Source organism: Homo sapiens, chromosome 1, assembly GCF_000001405.40.
Source record: "Homo sapiens chromosome 1, GRCh38.p14 Primary Assembly".
NCBI classification, from domain to species: domain Eukaryota; kingdom Metazoa; phylum Chordata; class Mammalia; order Primates; family Hominidae; genus Homo; species Homo sapiens.
In genome coordinates, this window is record NC_000001.11 from 193867729 (window position 1) to 193887919 (window position 20191).

Here is a 20191-nt window from a genome sequence, read left to right on the forward strand (position 1 = left end):
ATTAGGAGAACAGGATTAATAATATAGGTAGTCAATTTTCATTACCTGTTTTGCTAGCTACTCTTCTGTGTAGCAGCCTTAGCGCCTGGGAGATATAAAATAGTAAATGTCAAAGATACAGGGAAAACAGGGTGTAGTCCCAGTTTAAAATAAGCATCTCACTTTAGAAAGAAGTTTCCCTAAATAGTCCATGATAGCAGATTTACAAAAAAGTAGACTATAAACAATATGAGAGTGTTCTAAAAGGATTTCAAGAACTGAAAGTGTAAGTGAGCAGGACATGTGGTATATAAGATAGGAAATACTTTCATTCATTTTCTTTTGGATCATTTTACCCATTTGATGGCTATTTTTTTTTTTACTTGGGCAGACCAAATGGCGTTATGGGGTTTGGGATTTGAAGAGGGAAGATGATTTACAGATAACCAACAATTCTCTGATTACTTGTAGTTCTATTAAAAATTTCCAATATCCTATCATATAGTTCAGCATAAGAATAAAACCCTTCTTAGTTCACTTAAAGCTTTTTCCTCTCCCTATCTCAGGCCTGTTGCAGGCTATAAAGTTGTCATGAAAAAGGTAAGCATGGTAGATTCCTGTCCATCTTCCCATCTAACATTTCTACTGCTCTGTCTCTGTGCATTGGGCTAATTGAGGCTTCTCCAGGATTTCAAATAAGGGAAAGGAGGAGACACAGGAGGCAAGGAATGGTCTCCATTAACGCGAAACCATCTGTCATTGGTTAGTTTCCTCTGGCTATGGTATTGGTACTTTTTTGTTCTCTCTCTCTCTCTCTGTCTCTCCCTCCCCATCCTCTCCATAAAATTATCTTCACTGGAGATCTCACATCTGCGGTTCCTTTGGTACAGTTGCTTTGGACAAGTTCCTCTGACTGGTCACATAACACATGGCCCTTGGCACTGGGACACCTGATAGATATCTATCTGATTTCTTTTGGGATGTGTCTGTGTGTTTGTCCCTCAATCGAGCCCCCTGGAGAATGATGTAATATAGTGCTAAGCTAGCTTATTCTCTCTTTTCACGCCCCTCACTTTCTTACCACCCATATGAGAAATGTGCATTTTTTGCTCCTACAAATTCTGGGGCAGAAAGACTGCTTTTTATTACTTTACCATCAGAAAAAAAGACTTGTGGCCATCTATCATCTCTTTTACAAAGTCGCTGTTACAAGACTTTTCCTTTATTTGAACTTAGCCTACTAAATGAATAGGAGAAAAGTTCATTTGCCTTACATACATTTGGAGGGACTAATGTTTTGTATATGAGAAAAGAAAATATAAGTGCTTTCTAGTATGAAAGTTTTTATTATTAGGTTTATCTGAAAAACAAAATTCTCACTATAGAAAAGAGCCAGGAATTTTATGGTTCCCTTTACAATTATTCAATCCCTCATGTTACAGACCTTCAGTTCCAAAGAATGAAATGTGCCAAATGTCTTTCACTGAATGTTCCCAACAGTATTTTGTGTATCATTCATGTCACTGTTCATGGGAGGAAAAGGTTATGAGACTTGTTGCCTTGTGTGCTCCAAAGGTGAAGCATGAGATGCTGTAAGGCACATCCACCAAGGTTCCAATTAGACTGAATTTGGATAGATGAGATGGTATGCGGGGCAGGAAAAAAATGTTCAACAGATATCATTTAAGTAAACACTAGAAACTGGAGAGGATGACCCCTAAAAATTGCCATCCAAAAAATATTCTTTTAAATAAAAATACAAATTTTGAGAGTTTTGTGTTTTTTAGTTAAAAAACTAGTGTGTGTGTATATATATATAGTGTATCTATGTGTGTATATATGTATATATATGTACATGTGTATATATGTATATATATGTACATGTGTATATATGTATATATATATATGTATGTGTGTGTCTGTGTGTGTGTGTGTGTGTGTGTATATATAGTTTGTTTGTTTTGTTTTTTGAGAAGGATTCTTGCTCTGTCACCCAGGCTGGAGTGCAGTGGTGTGATCTTGGCTCATTGCAACTTCCGCCTCCCAGATTCAAGCAATTCTCCTGCCTCAGCCTTCTGAGTAGGTGGAATTACAGGTGCCCACCATCACACCTGGCTAATTTTTTTATTTTTAGTGGAGACAGGGTTTCACTATGTTGGTCAGCTGGTCTCAAACTCCTGACCTTGTGATCCGCCTGCCTTGGCCTCCCAAAGTGCTGGGATTACAGGCGTGAGACACCGCGCCTGGCCAGACTAATGATATATTAATGAATTTTAATATATCTCATATGTGAGATATATTAAACTTCTCAGTGAACACTAATGAAGTAGATAATAAGGAATACTAAGGTAGATGCCGAGCATGACCAACAATAGGACTATGAATATCTGGAATCTTGTAAGTCTGGATTTAAATTCTGGCTCAAGTACATACAGACCAAGCAAGCCACTTAAACTATAGGACTCTTATCTATCTTATTTATAAGACAGGTGGAATAAGATTAATTCATTAGGTTGTGGTAAAAATGAAATAAGAATAATGCAAAATGATTGGAATAGTGTAAGTGCTAAACAAATGATAGCTATCATCATTATCATCACTATTTTTTGTCATTTTCATTTTATTATTTATAAAACAGCTTTACTGAGGAACAATTGATATACAAAGAACTGCACATATTCAATGTGTACCATTGGATAAGTTTAGACGGTGCAAACCCTGTGCCTTTTGCCGTCATTTTCATCTTGAGCAAACTGCTTTCAAGAGCCTTTTGTTTACCATACAGTGGTTTCAAGACCTATATCTGCAGAAAAGATATTTTTCAAAGGTAATTAAATTCATATTTCAAGTGTTTTTTTTTTTTATTTTATTCTAAGTTCTGGAATACCTGTGGAGGATATGCAGATTTGTTACATAGGTAAAAATGTGCCATGGTAGTTTGCTGCACCTATCAGTCCATCATATAGGTATTAAGCCTAGCATGCATTAGCTATTTTTCCTGATGATCTCTCTGCCCCAGACCCCACCTGCTGACAGGACCCAGTGTGTGTTGTTCCCCTTCCTCTGTCCACATGTTCTCATTGTTGAGCTCCCACTTATAAGTGAGAAAATTTGGTGTTTGGTTTCCTGTTCCTGTGTTAGTTTGCTGAGGATAATGTCTTTCAGATGCATCCATGTCCTTGCAAAGGACATGATCTCATTCCTTTTTATGGCTACATAGTATTCCATGGTATGTATGTACCACATTTTCTTTATCCAGTCTATCACTGATGGGCAATTGGGTTGATTCCATGTTTTTGCTATTGTGCATAGTGCTGCAGTGAACATATGTGTGCATGTATCTTTATAATAGAATGATTTATATTCCTTTGAGTATATGCCCACTAATAGGATTGTAGGGCCAAATGATATTTCTGGTTCTAGGCCTTTGAGGAATCGTCACACTGTCTTCCACAATGGTTGACCTAATTTACATTTCCATGAACAGTGTGAAAGCGTTCCTATTTCTTTATAGCCTCACCAGCATCTGTTGTTTCTTGGCTTTTTTAATGATCGCCATTCTGACTGGTGTGAGATGGTATCTCATTGTGATTTTGATTTGCATTTCTCTAATAATCAGTGATGTGGAGCTTTTTTTCATATGTTCTGGGAAAGCTGGCTAGCCATATGCAGAAAATACACATAATGAAAACACATAATGTCTTCTTTTGAGAAGTGTCTGTTCATATACTTTGCCCACTTTTTAATGGGGTTGTTTTTTTCTTGTAAATTTGTTTAAGTTCCTTGTAGATTCTAGATATTAGAACTTTGTCAGATGGAGAGATTGCAAAAATTTTATCCCATTCTGTACGTTGTTCACTCTGATGATAATTTCTTTTGCTGTGCAGAAGCTCTTTAGTCAGATCCCATTTGTCAAGTTTTGCTTCTGTTGCAACTGCTTTTGACATTTTTGTTATGAAATATTTGCCTGTGCCTATGTCCTGAACGGTATTGCCTAGCTCTTCTTCTAGGGTTTTTATAGTTTTGGGTTTTAGATTTAACTCTTTATTCCATCTTGAGTTAATTTTTGTATAAGGTGTAAGGAAGGGGTCCAGTTTCAATTTTCTGCATATGGCTAGCCAGCTTTCCCAGAAACATTTATTAAAAAGGGAATCCTGATTTTTAGAATTTTCAGGTTTTCTGCTCTGTTTTTTCCCCATCTTTGTGGTTTTATCTACCTTTGGTCTTTGATGATGGTGACGTACAGATGGGGTTTTAGTGTGGAGCGCCTCTCTCCCTCCAAAGGAACACAGCTCCTCGCCAGCAACGGAACAAAGCTGGACAGAAAATGACTTTGACGAGTTGAGAGAAGAAAGCTTCAATGATCAAACTTCTCTGAGCTAAAGGAGGAAGTTCGAACCCATCATAAAGAAGCTAAAAACCTTGAAAAAATTTAGACGAATGGCTAACTAGAATAACTAATGTAGAGAAGTCCTTAAATGACCTGATGGAGCTGAAAACCATGACATGAGAACTACATGACGAACAAGCTTCAGTAGCCGATTCAATCAACTGGAAGAAAGGGTATCACTGATTGAAGATCAAATGAATGAAATGAAGCGAGAAGAGAAGTTCAGAGAAAAAAAAGTGAAAAGAAAAGAACAAAGCTTCCAAGAAATATGGGACTATATGAAAAGACCAAATCTACGTCTGATTGGTGTACCTGAAAGTGATGAGGAGAATGGAACCAAGTTGGAAAATACTCTGCAGGATATTATCCAGAACTTCCCCAACCTAGCAAGGCAGGCCAACATTCAAATTCAGGAAATACAGAGAACGCCACAAAGATACTCCTCGAGAAGAGCAACTCCAAGACACATAATTGTCAGATTCACCAATGTTGAAATGAAGGAAAAAATGTTAAGGGAAGCCAGAGAGAAAGGTCGGGTTACCCACAAAAGGAAGCCCATAAGACTAACAGCGGATCTCTCAGCAGAAACTCTACAAGCCAGAAGAGTGGGGGCCCATATTCAACATTCTTAAAGAAAAGAATTTTCAACCCAAAATTTCATATCCAGCCAAACTAAGCTTCATAAGTGAAGGAGAAATAAAATCCTTTACAGACAAAAAAATGCTGAGAGATTTTGTCACCCCCAGGCCTGTCCTACAAGAGCTGCTGAAGGAAGCACTAAACATGGAAAGGAACAACCAGTACCAGCCACTGCAAAAACATGCCAAGTTGTTAAGACCATCGATGCTAGGAAGAAACTGCATCAACTAACGAGCAAAATAACCAGCTAACATCATAGTGACAGGATGAAATTCACACATAACTATGTTAACCTTAAATGTAAATGGACTAAATGCTCCAATTAAAAGACACAGACTGGCAAATTGGATAAAGAGTCAAGACCCATCAGTGTCCTGTATTCAGGATACCCATCTCACATGCAGAGACACACATAGGCTCAAAATAAAGGGATGGAGGCAGATCTACCAAGCAAATGGAAAACAAAAAAGGCAGGGGTTGCAATCCTGGTCTCTGATAAAACAGACTTTAAACAAACAAAGATCCAAAGAGACAAAGAAGGCCATTACATAATGGTAAAGGGATCAATACAACAAGAAGAGCTAACTATCCTAAATATATATGCACCCAATACAGGAGCACCCAGATTCATAAAGCAAGTCCTTAGAGACCTACAAAGAGACTTAGACTCCCACACAATAATAATGGGAGACTTTAACACCCCACTGTCAACATTAGATCAACGAGACAGAAAGTTAACAAGGATATCCAGGAATCGAACTCAGCTCTGCACCAAGCAGACCTAATAGACATCTACAGAACTCTCCACCCCATATCAACAGAATATACATTATTCTCAGCACCACACCACACCTATTCCAAAATTGACCACGTAGTTGGAAGTAAAGCACTCCTGAGCAAATGTAACAGAACAGAAATTATAACAAACTGTCTCTCAGACCACAGTGCAATCAAACTAGAACTCAGTATTAAGGAACTCACTCAAAACTGCTCAACTACGTGGAAATTGAACAACCTGCTCCTGAATGACTACTGGGTACATAACGAAATGAAGGCAGAAATAAAGATGTTCTTTGAAACCAACGAGAACAAAGACACAACATACCAGAATCTCTGGGACACATTCAAAGCAGTGTGTAGAGGGAAATTTATGGCACTAAATGCCCACAAGAGAAAGCAGGAAAGATCTAAAATTGACACCCTAACATCACAATTAAAAGAACTAGAGAAGCAAGAGCAAACACATTCAAAAGCTAGCAGAAGGCAAGAAATAACTAAAATCAGAGCAGAACTGAAGGAGATAGAGACACAAAAAAACGCTTCAAAAAATCAATGAATCCAGGAGCTGGTTTTTTGAAAAGAACAACAAAATTGATAGACCGCTAGCAAGACTAATAAAGAAGAAAAGAGAGAATAATCAAATAGATTCAATAAAAAATGATAAAGGGGATATGACCACCGATCCCACAGAAATACAAACTACCATCAGAGAATACTATAAACATCTCTCTGCAAATAAACTAGAAAATCTAGAAGAAATGGATAAATTCCTCGACACATACACCCTCCCAAGACTAAACCAGGAAGAAGTTGAATCTCTGAATAGACCAATAACAGGCTCTGAAATTGAGGCAATAATTAATAGTTTACCAACCAAGAAAAGTCCAGGACCAGATGGATTCACAGCCAAATTCTACCAGAGGTACAAGGAGGAGCTGGTATCATTCCTTCTGAAACTATTCCAATCAATAGAAAAAGAGGAAATCCTCCCTAACTCATTTTATGAGGCCAGCATCATCCTGATACCAAAGGCTGGCAGAGACACAACAAAGAAAGAGAATTTTAGACCAATATCCCAGATGAACATCTACGCAAAAATCCTCAGTAAAATACTGGCAAACCAAATCCAGCAGCACATCAAAAAGTTTATCTGTCATGATCAAGTAGGCTTCATCCCTGGTATGCAAGGATGGCTCAACATATGCAAATCAATAAAAGTAATCCAGCATATAAACAGAACCAAAGACAAAAACCATATGATTATCTCAATAGATGCAGAAAAGGCCTTTGACAAAATTCAACAGCCCTTCATGCTAAAAACTCTCAATAAATTAGGTATTGATGGGACGTATCTCAAAATAATAAGAGCTATTTATGACAAACCCACAGCCAATATCATATTCAGGGCAAAAACTGGAAACATTCCCCTTGAAAACTGGCACAAGACAGGGATGTCTTCTCTCACCACTCCTATTCAACATAGTATTGGAAGTTCTGGCCAGAGCTATCAGGCAGGATAAAGTAATAAAGCGTATTCAATTAGGAAAAGAGGAAGTCAAATTGTCCCTGTTTTCAGATGGCATGATTGTATATCTAGAAAATCCCATTGTCTTAGCTCTAAATGTCCTTAAACTGATAAGCAACTTCAGCAAAGTTTCAGGATACAAAATCAATGTGCAAAAATCACTAGCATCCTTATACACCAATAACAGACAAACAGAGAGCCAAATCATGAGTGAACTCCCATTCACAATTGCTTCAAAGAGAATAAAATACCTAGGAATCCAACTTACAAGGGATGTGAAGGACCTCTTCAAGGAGAACTACAAACCACTGCTCAGTGAAATAAAAGAGGATGCAAACAAATAGAAGAACATTCCATGCTCATGGATAGGAAGAATCAATATTGTGAAAATGGCCATACTGCCCAAGGTAATTTGTAGATTCGGTGCTATCCCCATCAAGCTACCAATGACTTTCTTCACAGAATTGGAAAAAACTACTTTAAAGTTCATATGGAACCAAAAAAGAGCCTGCATCGCCAAGTCAATCCTAAGCCAAAAGAACAAAGCTGGAGGCATCACGCTACCTGACTTCAAGCTATACTACAAGGCTACAGTAACCAAAAAAGCATGGTACTGGTACCAAAACAGAGATATAGACCAACGGAACAGAACAGAGCCCTCAGAAATAATACCACACGTCTACAACCATCCGATCTTTGACAAACCTGACAAAAACAAGAAATGGGGAATAAATGGTGCTGGGAAAACAGGCTAGCCATATGTAGAAAGCTGAAACTGGATCTTTTCCTTACACCTTATACAAAAATTAATTCAAGATGGATTAAAGACTTACATGTTAGACCTAAAACCATAAAAACCCTAGAAGAAAACCTAGGCAATACCATTCAGGACACAGGCTTGGGCAAGGACTTCATGTCTAAAACACCAAAAGCAATGGCAACAAAAGCCAAAATTGACAAACGGGATCTAATTAAACTAAAGAGCTTCTGCACAGCAAAAGAAGCTGCCATCAGAGTGAACAGGCAACCTACAGAGCGGGAGAAAATTTTTGCAATCTCCTTATCTGACAAAGGGCTAATATCCAGAATCTACAAAGAACTCAAACAAATTTTAAAGAGAAAAACAACCCTATCAAAAAGTGGGTAAAGTATATGAACAGACACTTCTCAAAAGAAGACACTGATGCAGCCAACAGACACATGAAAAAATGCTCATCATCACCGGTCATCAGAGTAATGCAAATCAAAACCACAATGAGATACCATCTTACACCAGTTAGAATGGCAATCATTAAAAAGTCAGGAAACAACAGGTGCTAGAGAGGATGTGGAGAAACAGGAACACTTTTACACTGTTGGTGGGACTGTAAACTAGTTCAGCCATTGTGGAAGACAGTGTGGTGGCGATTCCTCAAGGATCTAGAACTAGAAATACCATTTGACCCAGCCATCCCATTACTGGGTATATACCCAAAGGATTATAAATCATGCTGCTATAAAGACACATGCACCCATATGTTTATAGCGGCACTATTCACAATAGCAAAGACTTGGAACCAACCTAAATGTCCATCAGTGATAGACTGGATTAAGAAAATGTGGCACATATACACCATGGAATACTACGCAGCCATAAAAAAGGAAGAGTTCATGTCCTTTGTAGGGACATGGATGAAGCTGGAAACCATCATTCTCAGCAAACTATCGCAAGGACGAAAAACCAAACACTGCATGTTCTCACTCTAGGTGGGAATTGCAGAATGAGAACACTTGGACACAGGATAGGGAACATCACACACCAGGGCCTGTTGTGGTGTGGGGGGAGGGGGGAGAGATAGCATTATGAGATATATCTAATGTAAATGATGAGTTAATGGGTGCGGCACACCAACATGGCACATGTATACATATGTAACAAACCTGCACATTGTGCACATGTACCCTGGAAATTAAAGTATAATAAAAATAAATAATAAATAATAAAAAGGGAATCCTTTCCCCATTGCTTGTTTGTGTCAGGTTTGTTAAAGATCAGATGGCTGTAGATGTGCGGTCTTATTTCTGAGATCTCTGTTCTGTTCCATTGGTCTATGTGTCTGTTTTTATACCAGTACCATGATGTTTTGGTTACTGAAGCCTTGTAGTATAGTTTGAAGGTGGATATCATGAGGCCTCCAGCTTTGTCCTTTGTGCTTAGGATTCTCTTGGCTATATGGGCTCTTTTGTGGTTCCGTATGAATTTGAAAGCAGTTTTTTCTAATTCTGTGAAGAATATCAATGGTAGTTTAATGGGAATAGCACTGAATCTTTAAATTGCTTTGGGCAATATGGCCATTTTCATATTGATTCTTCCTATCCATGAGCATGGAGTGTTTTTCTGGAAAATTTGTTTGGTGTCCTTTCTGAGTTCCTTGAGCAGTGATTTATTGTTCTCCATGAAGAGATTCTTCACTCCACTTGTTAGCTGTATTCCTCGGTATTTTATTCTCTGTATAGCAATTGTGAATGGGAGTTCATTCATGATTTGGCTCTCTGCTTGTCTGTTGTTGGTGTATAGGAATACTTGTGATTTTTGCACATTGATTTTGTATCCTGAAATTTGCTGAAGTTACTTATCTGCCTAAGAAGCTTTAGGGCTGAGACAGTGTGGTTTTCTAGACATAGAATTATGTCATCTGCAAACAGAGACAGTTTGACTTCCTCTCTTCATATTTGAATACTCTTTGTTTATTTCTCTTGCCTGATTGCCCTGGCCAGAACTTCCCATACTATGTTGAATAGGAGTCGTGAGAGAGGGCATCCTTGTCTTGTGCCAGTTTTCAAGGGGAATGCTTCCAGCTTTTGCCCATTCACTATGATATTGGTTGTGAGTTTATCATAAATGGCTCTTATTATTTTGAGGTAAGTTGCATCAATATCTAGTTTATTGAAAGTTTTTAACATGAAGGGCTGTTAAATTTTATCAAAGGCCTTTTCTGTGTCTATTGAAATAATCATTTGGCTTTTGTCTTTAGTTCTGTTTATGTAATGAATTACATTTATTGATTTGCATATGTTGAACCATCCTTGCATTCTGGTGATGAAGCTGACTTGATCATGGTGGATAAGCTTTTTGATGTGCTGCTGGATTCGGTTTGCTAGTATTTTATTGAGGATTTTTACATTGAGGTTCATCAGGGATATTGGCCTGAAGTTTCCATTTTTTGTTGTATTTCTGCCAGGTTTGGGTATCAGAATGATGCTGGCCTCATAAAATGAGTTACAGAAAAGTGTCTCCTTTTCAGTTGTTTGAAATAGTTTCAGAAGAAATGGTACCAGCTCCTCTTTGTACCTCTGGTAGAATTCAGCTGTAAATCCATCTGTTCCTGGGCTTTTTTTTGGTTAGTAGGCTATTTATTACCAGCTAAATTTCAGAATTTGTTATTGGTCTATTCAGGGATTCAACTTATTCCTGGTCTAGTTTTGGGAGGGGGTATGTATCCAGGAATTTATCCATTTCTTCTAGATTTTCTAGTTTATTTGCATAGAGGTGTTTATGGTATTCTCTGATGGCTGTTTTTATTTCTGTGGGGTCAAAGGACATCACCATTATTTTAAAAGTTCACTAAAAGTAACTTTCTGAGTTGCATCTGATCTATCTGTCTATCTATCTATCTATCTATCTATCTATCTAATCATCTTCAATATTGATAATAATATTTAGCATCAAAGTTGTACACATTTAAAAACTAGAAGCCAAGAAGTAGCTGTCTGGAGAATTAAATTGTCTAAGAAATTATTAAAGAATACTAAACAATAGTTTAAGTAATTATGATTTCTAAAAATAATAGCAGAAAGAACAATTTTATGAGAAAGTATAATGTGAAAACTGTTCATTTAGCAAAAAAACAGGCATTTCAGTTTTTTAAAATAAACTGCAAGAACTAGTGTCAATTTTTATGTAGAGACCAATCATCTTTTCCTGATACTTTAAAGGATTTAGTGACCAGAAATAACTGGTCATTAGTTACATTCAGCTCCAATGATTTACAATCTTCAAAGCAGCAGCTTCAGCAGAATGAAGATGAATTCAAGAATTAGACAATTAACATTACTCTTTGGCTAATTCTGATTAGACTTCACACACATTTTTTTCTATTGTACAAACGTTTTTGAGGTTGAATAATAAAATTTAAAAAAATTGTTAATATACTTAATAGCTGTAATATTAGACATTAAAATAAAAAATCATGATACATTTCTGAAGTGTCCTTTGCGGTCAACTAGTCTCTTCAACCAAATGTACTCATACTTTATAATTATAAGCAGTAGCCCTATTTTGGAAAAAAAGAATTCATTTTCTGAAAGCACATGATGAATTCAGGAGAACAAAAAAAGTAAAGATTCTAATGCTGAACATGAAGAACTTGTACTTAATCTTATTGGAATTAGTTGTGAAATAATTATGCACAGAAGAAACCTGTTGAACCATGTGTCTATAATTATCTTTTGACCATAAAATATTGGATAGTTTTGTTCCCTTAAACATACCCCTTGGATATGAAAATGAACAGACAAATGTGTGGTGGTTACACCAAGAGCATGTGAATTCAGTTGCCAAGTTTCCTTTAGATAATGTATTATTTGCCCAAATAATATTTTTAATTATTATTTGCCCAGAGGTTAAGACAAGAGTGATTTAAGAGTTTATTACTTGATTTTCTGAAAATTTTTTCACACAGTCTAGATAGAATGACTAATTGAAAGTTAATAGTTTGGGCCAGTTGTGGTGGCTCATGCCTGTAATCCCAGCACTTTGGGAGGCCGAGGTGGGTGGATCATCTGATGTCAGGTGTTCGAGACCAGCCTGGCCAACATACTGAAACCCCCATCCCTACTAAAAATACAAAAATACAAAAATTAGCCAGGCGTGCTGGTGCACACCTGTAATCCCAGCTACTGGGGAGGCTGAGGCATGAGAATCGCTTGAATCTGGGAGGCGGAGGTTGTAGTGAGCTGAGATTGTGCCACTGCACTCTAGTTTGGATGATGAGTGAGACTCCGTCTCCAAACCAAAACCAAAACCAAAATCAAAACAACAACAACAAAACAGCAAAACAAAGTTAATAGTTTGAAAGATGTGGGACATTTGGTGATGGATTCTATTTTCCTTCAATAAATGACTCCCACATTGACCAATGAAACAAAAAGACTAGACGATTATTGGATTATTTAGAAAGGCACCAGCACTTGGTTGTTTCATGCGTGCAAAGCTCTGTCAGAATTTGTCACATTGTCCACTTCAATTATAGTTCAATAAAGTTACGAAAAAAGTATGAAAAAAATCAAGTGTGAAATAAAAAAGATTGAGGACTATATGAAAGCTGTGCCTTCTCCCCCAACACAAGATAAGGTATAACTGAGTCAGGCTGAAAGAAGAGAAGTTTGGAAGAAGCCAAGTATGTAAGAGGTCTCTTAACTGCTTTCCTTGTCTCTGGTAATTGCTGGGAGTGGGCTGGCAAGAAAGTGAGGAAAAGGAAATGAAACTGACCTATTTGTCCCATAGAACTGATGTTATAGTTTTTTTTGAATAAGCATAGAAATTCATCCTCCCAGTCTTGAAACTTGAGAAAACTATACTGAGTTTCCTTCTCAAGAAACCAATAATCAGTCTTCCCACATAGTATCAAGTGAATGAAATTTACTAGATAACTGTATCTGGACAATTAGACATCAGACCTCTCATGGATCATGATTGCTTAACTAACCACTTGTTTTTCTGTTGAACCAACTTCTCTTCTTTACCCCTCCCTAATTCCTGTTTGCCTGTGTGTAGTTACATTTCTGCTACATAAGCTCCTAATTTTAGTCAGGTAGATGGATTTCAGACTGATCTCTCATCTTCTTGACTGCAACAACCTGGTTCAAGCCTTCTTCCCTGATGATAATCACTGTATCAGTGATTGACTTTCCATGTAGGGAGTAGCAGGACCTTTAACAAATCCCTGGTGCTTTGGTGAGCAGCAGGACCTATAACAAATCCCTGGTGTTTAGGTAACAGACTTTGGTCCCCTGACCAGGAATGCATTCGTTGTTGCTCCACTGTCATGTCAAGGAGAGTTTTAGAAGCCCCCCTAAGTAGCTGCCTGAACCTTTTTTGGTAGGAGGTGAGTTTCGGTCTCTCTCTGGTTTCACTGCTGTAGGCCTCAAACACGTTCCTAATTTCCTAGGAAGAATAGCCTTTGAAATTTGACATCTGCCTCCAGATAAGTGAGTGTCCTATGTGGGCCCAGACAGCAGGATCTGTTCCTCTCAATTTGGGAAGTTTTTGAAGAAGTTTCCATTTGTAGATTACACAAGCCCAACTGAGTGAGAGAGGGAAGCACCCTGACTGTTTCAGTTTGGACACTCTTGGGGGCTTGTTTGTAATTGTTGTGTGTATATCTGAGCAAGTGATTGTCTTTTGTGGGTGCCAGACAGAGGGATTGGTTCCTCTCAATTTGGGAAATTCCAAAGGAATTTTCAGGTTAATTGAGTACAACCGAAGAAGAGAGGAAGCACCCCAACTGTTCCAATTTGGACACTCTTGGTCTTGTTTGTTGCTGCAGCAGTTGGATTGTATTTTGGTGATTGTGTGTTTGTTGATAGAGTTATGAGAAATCAGGATTCAATATGCTGATATTCCTTTGTAGTATTGTTGACCACAATATTCTTTGGAATCTGGAGAGGTTTGGCCTCTTCATGGACCTCATTTTGCTGTTGAATGGGAAAGCAGGGTGGAGTTTTATGTATCCCAGCTTTTATGCTGCTGTTCTGAACAGGGTCAGGCCTGGTTACTACATGATGTGCTCCTGTGGTACTGTTTGGCTCCAGTGTTCATTGGAGCCTGGAGTGGTTTGGCCTTTAAAAATCAAAATGCCGTGGGAACTGCTTTACCCAAAATTTTGGTTCACAGCTTTCACTGGGTTACTTATTGGGGCAAAGTTTAGCCATGTGAATATGTTCACAGACTGGTGAGTTTGTATCAGTCTATGAACTGTAACTGTATCTCACAGCTAGAGTTCCAAAGAAAAAGCTATTGGATCTCGTGTGTGTGTGTGTGTGTGGGGGGGGGGGGGTGTGTGTGTGTGTGTGTGTCCATGCTTATATGTGTTTATGTGTGTGTACATTTATTATGTTATATATTATGTCTACCACATTGGCTTATGAATAAAAAAGCACTCATAAATTGAGTAAACAAGTATAAAATATTTTTCAAGTTCATGTGACTTAAGTCAATCTTTAATAACCAAGCTGTCTTTAAAATTGTTGGTAAGATAAAAATATGAACGTCTTCAGAAATGTTAGAATACATTTTTATTTGGGTTTTATATTTGTCTCTGCTAGATATTCGAGGTGTCAGGTTTTGGCATAGAAGGTAATAAAATTATAATCCCAGTCAAAAGAAAATGATCTTTGTAGTATTTTATTCTGATTAATGAGACTAATTTAATGTTGTTAGTTTAACAAAAACAGCTGACTCTTCTGAGTTATTAGCAAAAAAATACCTAGCATTTAACTTAAGGTTCTTACTTAGGTGAGTACCTCATACTCCTGGCTGTAAAAATAGTTAACAAGGAAATAACTTTACATAATGACTAGCTGTGTCTAATATCTCTATTTTCAGAAGTAATCTAGATAAACTAAAAAAATGAAAGAATTCATTTTTTAAAAGTACTTTTGAAATTCATTTTTCAAAAGTACTTTGAGTACTTTTGAAAAGTACTCAAAGAATTCCCATTGAGTACTTTCCAATGGGAATAGATGTTGTAGGTAAACTGTGTGTAACTTAAAATCTTAAAATTATTTTTGATGCTTCTTGGATGTCTGAGTCATTTCCAATTAAGATAGGGTTATGATATGGGGAAATATGTTTCTAAAAATTGTGGAAAGTTCTCATCTATCAAATGCTAATATCTGATTGTTAAGAATTTTTTGCTTCTTAGGTTTTCATTGAAATTTAAGATTATTAAAAATAAGAATTCTAGTTAATATATAATTCTGTATGTAAAGTGTGCCAAAGAAGATATGTTCTTATTGAGAAAAAAATAATTTTATCCAATTCAGAAGTTACCTAACAGTTGATCCAAATTATGGACTACGGTAACATTTTGTCCTAAGGTAAAATGACTGGCTATTTTTTTTAAAAAAAAGAAAATATAGGACAAAAGAGAAAGTGCAAGCATGTTATAGATATTTGTGTAAGTCATATGTAATATTTTTCCCCTTTTCTCTGTATGTCTGTCTTCATGCACACAGAGAGAAAATAGAAAGTTGAAAAGGCTTAGGTAGTAAAATGGTTTTTAAAACCTGATAGAAAATTAGAGAAATTTGCCTAATTAACATTGCTCATAGTTAAAGCCCTTAGTTTTCATGAGGGTAAAATAAGAAATATTGTAAAGAAATACATTGGCAGTTTTGCAATTCTATTTTAATACAGTTAAGCATGAGGCCAGATTTAACATGGAGCCAAATTTCACAGACATGCTTGCACTGCTTCACACTATATTTGCTATTCTGCATAGATTGTACTTGCACTAAAGTGCTTAGTGATCATGTGACTACGGTGAATTTCTTAATTCCCCAGAATGTATAGTGGTATTGGTGGACTTAAAGACATTAATTTGTATACTATGAATGAAATATCTATCATAAGCTTTTTAGGCTCTGAGTAACACTGTAGCCTCCAAGGTAAACTGAGTAGGAGAATATTTGAGGTTTTGTTTCTTGTTTGTTGTTTTTGCTTCTAATTTTCATTTATTTGCCATTTGTTCTCTCCTGAGTTTTACTTATATATACATATATAAAACCATTGATGTTTTTAAGTTTCTCGTGGAAGGCTTGTATTTAGTTCTATAAAGAGTCATTCTGTTTCATATGCATTTCCAAAATTTCATCATTTGCTCTATTTATCTAAAGTTCCTAAGATACCACTGTTAAGCCTGCAAAAACTTATAGAACACACCAGCCATTTAAAATTTGATGGGTTTTGCTTACCCCGGATGATCAACAGAGCTGCAAGAGCTTTAAGGTTCCTGGCAAAAAATAAATAAATAAATAAATAAAATACTTATTTTTATAAGCTCTGAGCAAAAATAGTACAGTATATATTTTCTCATTTGGAAAAGTAGGTGAGAATAAAAAATTTTTATATAGTGTTTATTTCCAAGGCAATTCAACTCAATTAATAATTTAAGTTGCTTTCAGACCTTTTCCTTTAGGTAATGAGGAACAACTGTGATATGGGTACAGTGTTTTAGTGTTCAGGAAAGATTAGCTTTGTCCTTAAGAAAATTATATTAATTGGAATTTCTTTCAAATAATTTAGTTGTGTTTGTTATTAAAATTAAGTTACATTCATTTGGATGAAGTCGTAATAAAAATTGTGAGACTTTCTAGTGATTTTGTTTCAAGATCTCTAGGGTGTCTATTTTTCTGGCCAGAAACCTCTGTGGCCATGGCACCGTTGCCCAAGTTCTTGTCCTGCATCCAGGAGGAATGAGGTATGCAGACAAGTGATGGGTGAAGAAGAAGAGTTTTATTTAGTGTTAGAACAGCTAAGAAGAGTGCGTAGCTCCTCTCTGTAGGCAAGCCATCCTGTGGAGTGTTCAGCTGTCAGCAGAGAGGAGGCCCTGTAGAGGGTGGCTCCTCTCTGCAGGCAAGTCATTCAGACGTTTCTGCAGGTCTCAAGCTTTCAGCCAAGAAGTTAGACCCTTTCTGCCAGCAGGTTGTCTCTGCAGCTCTCAATGGAGACAGTAAGCTGGTCGTCTCATCGTCTCCAGCTATCAGCAGGAGGGTACCCGTCTCTGCAGTTGGTCTTCTATCCCATTCTCTCTCTGCCTTCTTCATCCTCTGGCCATCCCCTGCCCTGCTTTGACTGAGCCCAGGGCTTTTATAGACCTCAGAGGGGAAGAAGTGCTTGTGATTGGTCCGTGGCCAGCCACGGATGGCCAGAAGAGGCACCATGGGCCCCCCTCCCATCTGTAGGACTGGCAGCCCAGCCCCCAGCCTTCAGGCCCTCTCTGACATGAAGGTGGGGACTTACTGGCCAGCTTCCGCCCAGAAATCCATCTGCCTCCAGAGCTGCCATTCATGGCCCCAGGGCTTGGCCCCAACTCCTGCTCAAGATCAGAGCAGGCACCAGGAGTGGAGAGAGGCCAGGCAGTGGGAGCAGACACCGCCAAACATGCAGGGACTGGGGGAGTCCTTCCTGAGGCCCCTGAGGGTGCAGGCTGCAGAGACGCTGCGGTTCTGTGCCTGGGAGGGTGGCCACAGCTGCATCTGGGAGCTCTTGCCCTGCCATCTCGGAAGGGGCTGGGCTCCCGCTTGTCCCAAGCTCTTGCCTGCTTCCTGGAGTGGGAGGCCCAGGTCTGCAGCCAGGGGGAGTAGGGCTGCAGCTGCACCCAGGAAGGTAGATCCTATCTGTTCCCAGCTCCTCCAAGAGCACAAGGAGGCAAGGATCCATAGCTGCAGTTTGGAAGGCCGTAGTCCTCCCGGGAAGGCAGGGCTCCTACTTGCTCTATAGAGCAGGAGGCCTGGGTCTGCTGTTGCATTTTGGGTGACTGTAGCGGCTCACAGAGCTCCTATCCCAACTCAGAAGGGGCAGGACTCCCACTGGCTCCATGGAGTGTGCGGTCCCAGATGCACTTCGCTGCTGCAGCCGGCAAGATGGTAGCAGCCGCTGCCATTAATTTTTCATCCTAAGCCATTTATTGCTCATGGGCCTTCATGTGTGTACTTGAAAACAAAATATGCACAAGTATTGCACTGGTTTGAAGATTCTAGTGGCAGAAGTTATCTAATCAGTTTTCAGTATTGTATCTAAGAACCAGTCTTAGAAATATGTGATGGTGCTCTTTTAAATAGCTTAAATTATTGTGTGCTTGTTTTACTTTGTCCTTGTTTTGTTGTATATAATTTAAGTAAGTGAAAGAAAATTGTTTATCTTCATACTGAGTTTCCAAAACTGATACTTGCATTTAACATTTTTTTTGTTGATGGAGAAAAAAGTTAGTTGTTTTTCTCTGAAAAGTTTGGCACAGGACCTATCACATTTTTGATGCTTTTGGTTGCAGTTCTGTCATTAGAATGCTAGCAATTAGACATATGCAGTGAGTAACTTTAATACAGTGGTTTGAATTGAAGTGCTGCAGGCAGTATCTACTAGACACCAAGTCAGCTTTTTCATTCGTGACATGTTAGAGAGAATGATAGGATTTTGCAGTCTAAATATCCTATTAACAAATCCTTTTGTTGTTTAGTTACAGAGCTTTCACTCTAGCATCTGAAAAAGGAACCAACTCCTGCTAAATCTTGAGAATTGACACATTGAAGCCTTATCTTCAGACTCTGAAAAAGGTGATGATTAAAATAAACTACTTTACTAAGACATAGTGCTAGAGAATAAAACTATTCAATCCCCCTAGGCCCAGAGACTATAGCAGAAGAGGTGGGTTCATGAAATTGTAAGGGCCGATTTTAAGGGATAAGATTAGTTGAGAGGTTTTTTTATAAATTAAAAGTTAATATCAAAAGCACACTGATGAAAGGCCAGCATCTAGGCTCGTGTGTTGAAATAACAGGGTTTTCTTAGAGCATTTATTTGTTCTTTAAAAGAAAATTGTAAAAGGTAATAAAGGTTTATGAAAATTGTACCTTATGGTCAAACTGATTAAAATTAGATAGATTTGTTTATAGGTTTTATTAAAATTAGCTTTCACATTAATAACATACATACAAAGGACAATTTTTTTTTGAACAAAATTTTAATGTAAGTGATAATAAAAGATTTTTCTTTATCTTATGAGTAAAAATACAGAAGAAAAAGAAGAGGGAGAGGGAGAGACAAATTCAATAGGCCTCATGCTGTCTTTATTAACGAAACTGAGTTTCCTCTCTATAAAAGTGTAAACGTTTCTGTTTTATCATTTTGGCTAAATGAATGACTTATAGTAACCTGTGATCCTATTTGGTGATATCAAATGCCTTAAACCCTTGATTTTTGCCAGAATTTTCAACAGCAAAATTTTGAGTTCTAAATTCAGTCTTTTTGACCTCAAACTAACTTTTATGGGTATTGCCATCCCCCAAAGTCCAAGAGAGATATATTATGCTTATCTGGTATGTTAGAACTCCAAAGAAAGCATTGTAAAATGTGAGGTGGTCTTTAACATTCTTTGGGTTATATTTCTGTATGTGTTCCAGGATTTTATGACATTTCTGAAATTCTGATATGTCTTAATGTATGTTGTCAGTAATGATTATGATTATTATGTTAAATTATTGTATGTCACAGAAACAACCAAATTTTCTTGTCAACTTGATATGCTTAGGCTTTGTGTCCCCACTCAAATCTCATCTTGAATTGTAATCCCAGGTGTTTAGGGAGAGACCTGGTGGGAATTGGTCGGATCGTGGAGGTGGTTTCCCTCATGCTGTTCTCGTGGTAGTAAGTGAATTCTCATGAGATCTGATGGTTTTTTTTTTTTTTTTTTTGAGACGGAGTCTCGCTCTGTCGCCCAGGCTTGAGTGCAGTGGCACAATCTCAGCTCACTGCAAGCTCTGCCTCCCAGGTTCACACCATTCTCCTGCCTCAGCCTCCCGAGTAGCTGGGACTACAGGTGCCCGCCACCACGCCCAGCTAATTTTTTGTATTTTTAGTAGAGACGGGATTTCACCGCGTTAGCCAGGATGGTCTTGATCTCCTGACCTTGTGATCCGCCCGCCTCGGCCTCCCAAAGTGCTGGGATTACAGGCTTGAGCTACCGCGCCCGGCGAGATCTGATGGTTTTATAAATGTTAGTTTTTCCTGTGGTGACACACACTTGCGCTCTCTCACCTGCTGCCATGTAAAATGTGCC

At 38.0% G+C, this 20191-nt stretch overlaps 1 long non-coding RNA gene across 1 annotated transcript in view; it reads left to right on the forward strand.

Annotated features, from left to right (window-relative positions):
* The window catches only part of LOC124904475 (uncharacterized), a 765263-nt gene that overhangs the window by 413444 nt on the left and 331628 nt on the right, over positions 1-20191 (forward strand). The window contains exon 4 of the long non-coding RNA XR_007066777.1: positions 18593-18689. This is a non-coding gene — a long non-coding RNA (uncharacterized LOC124904475). The remainder of the gene's footprint in view (positions 1-18592; positions 18690-20191) is intronic.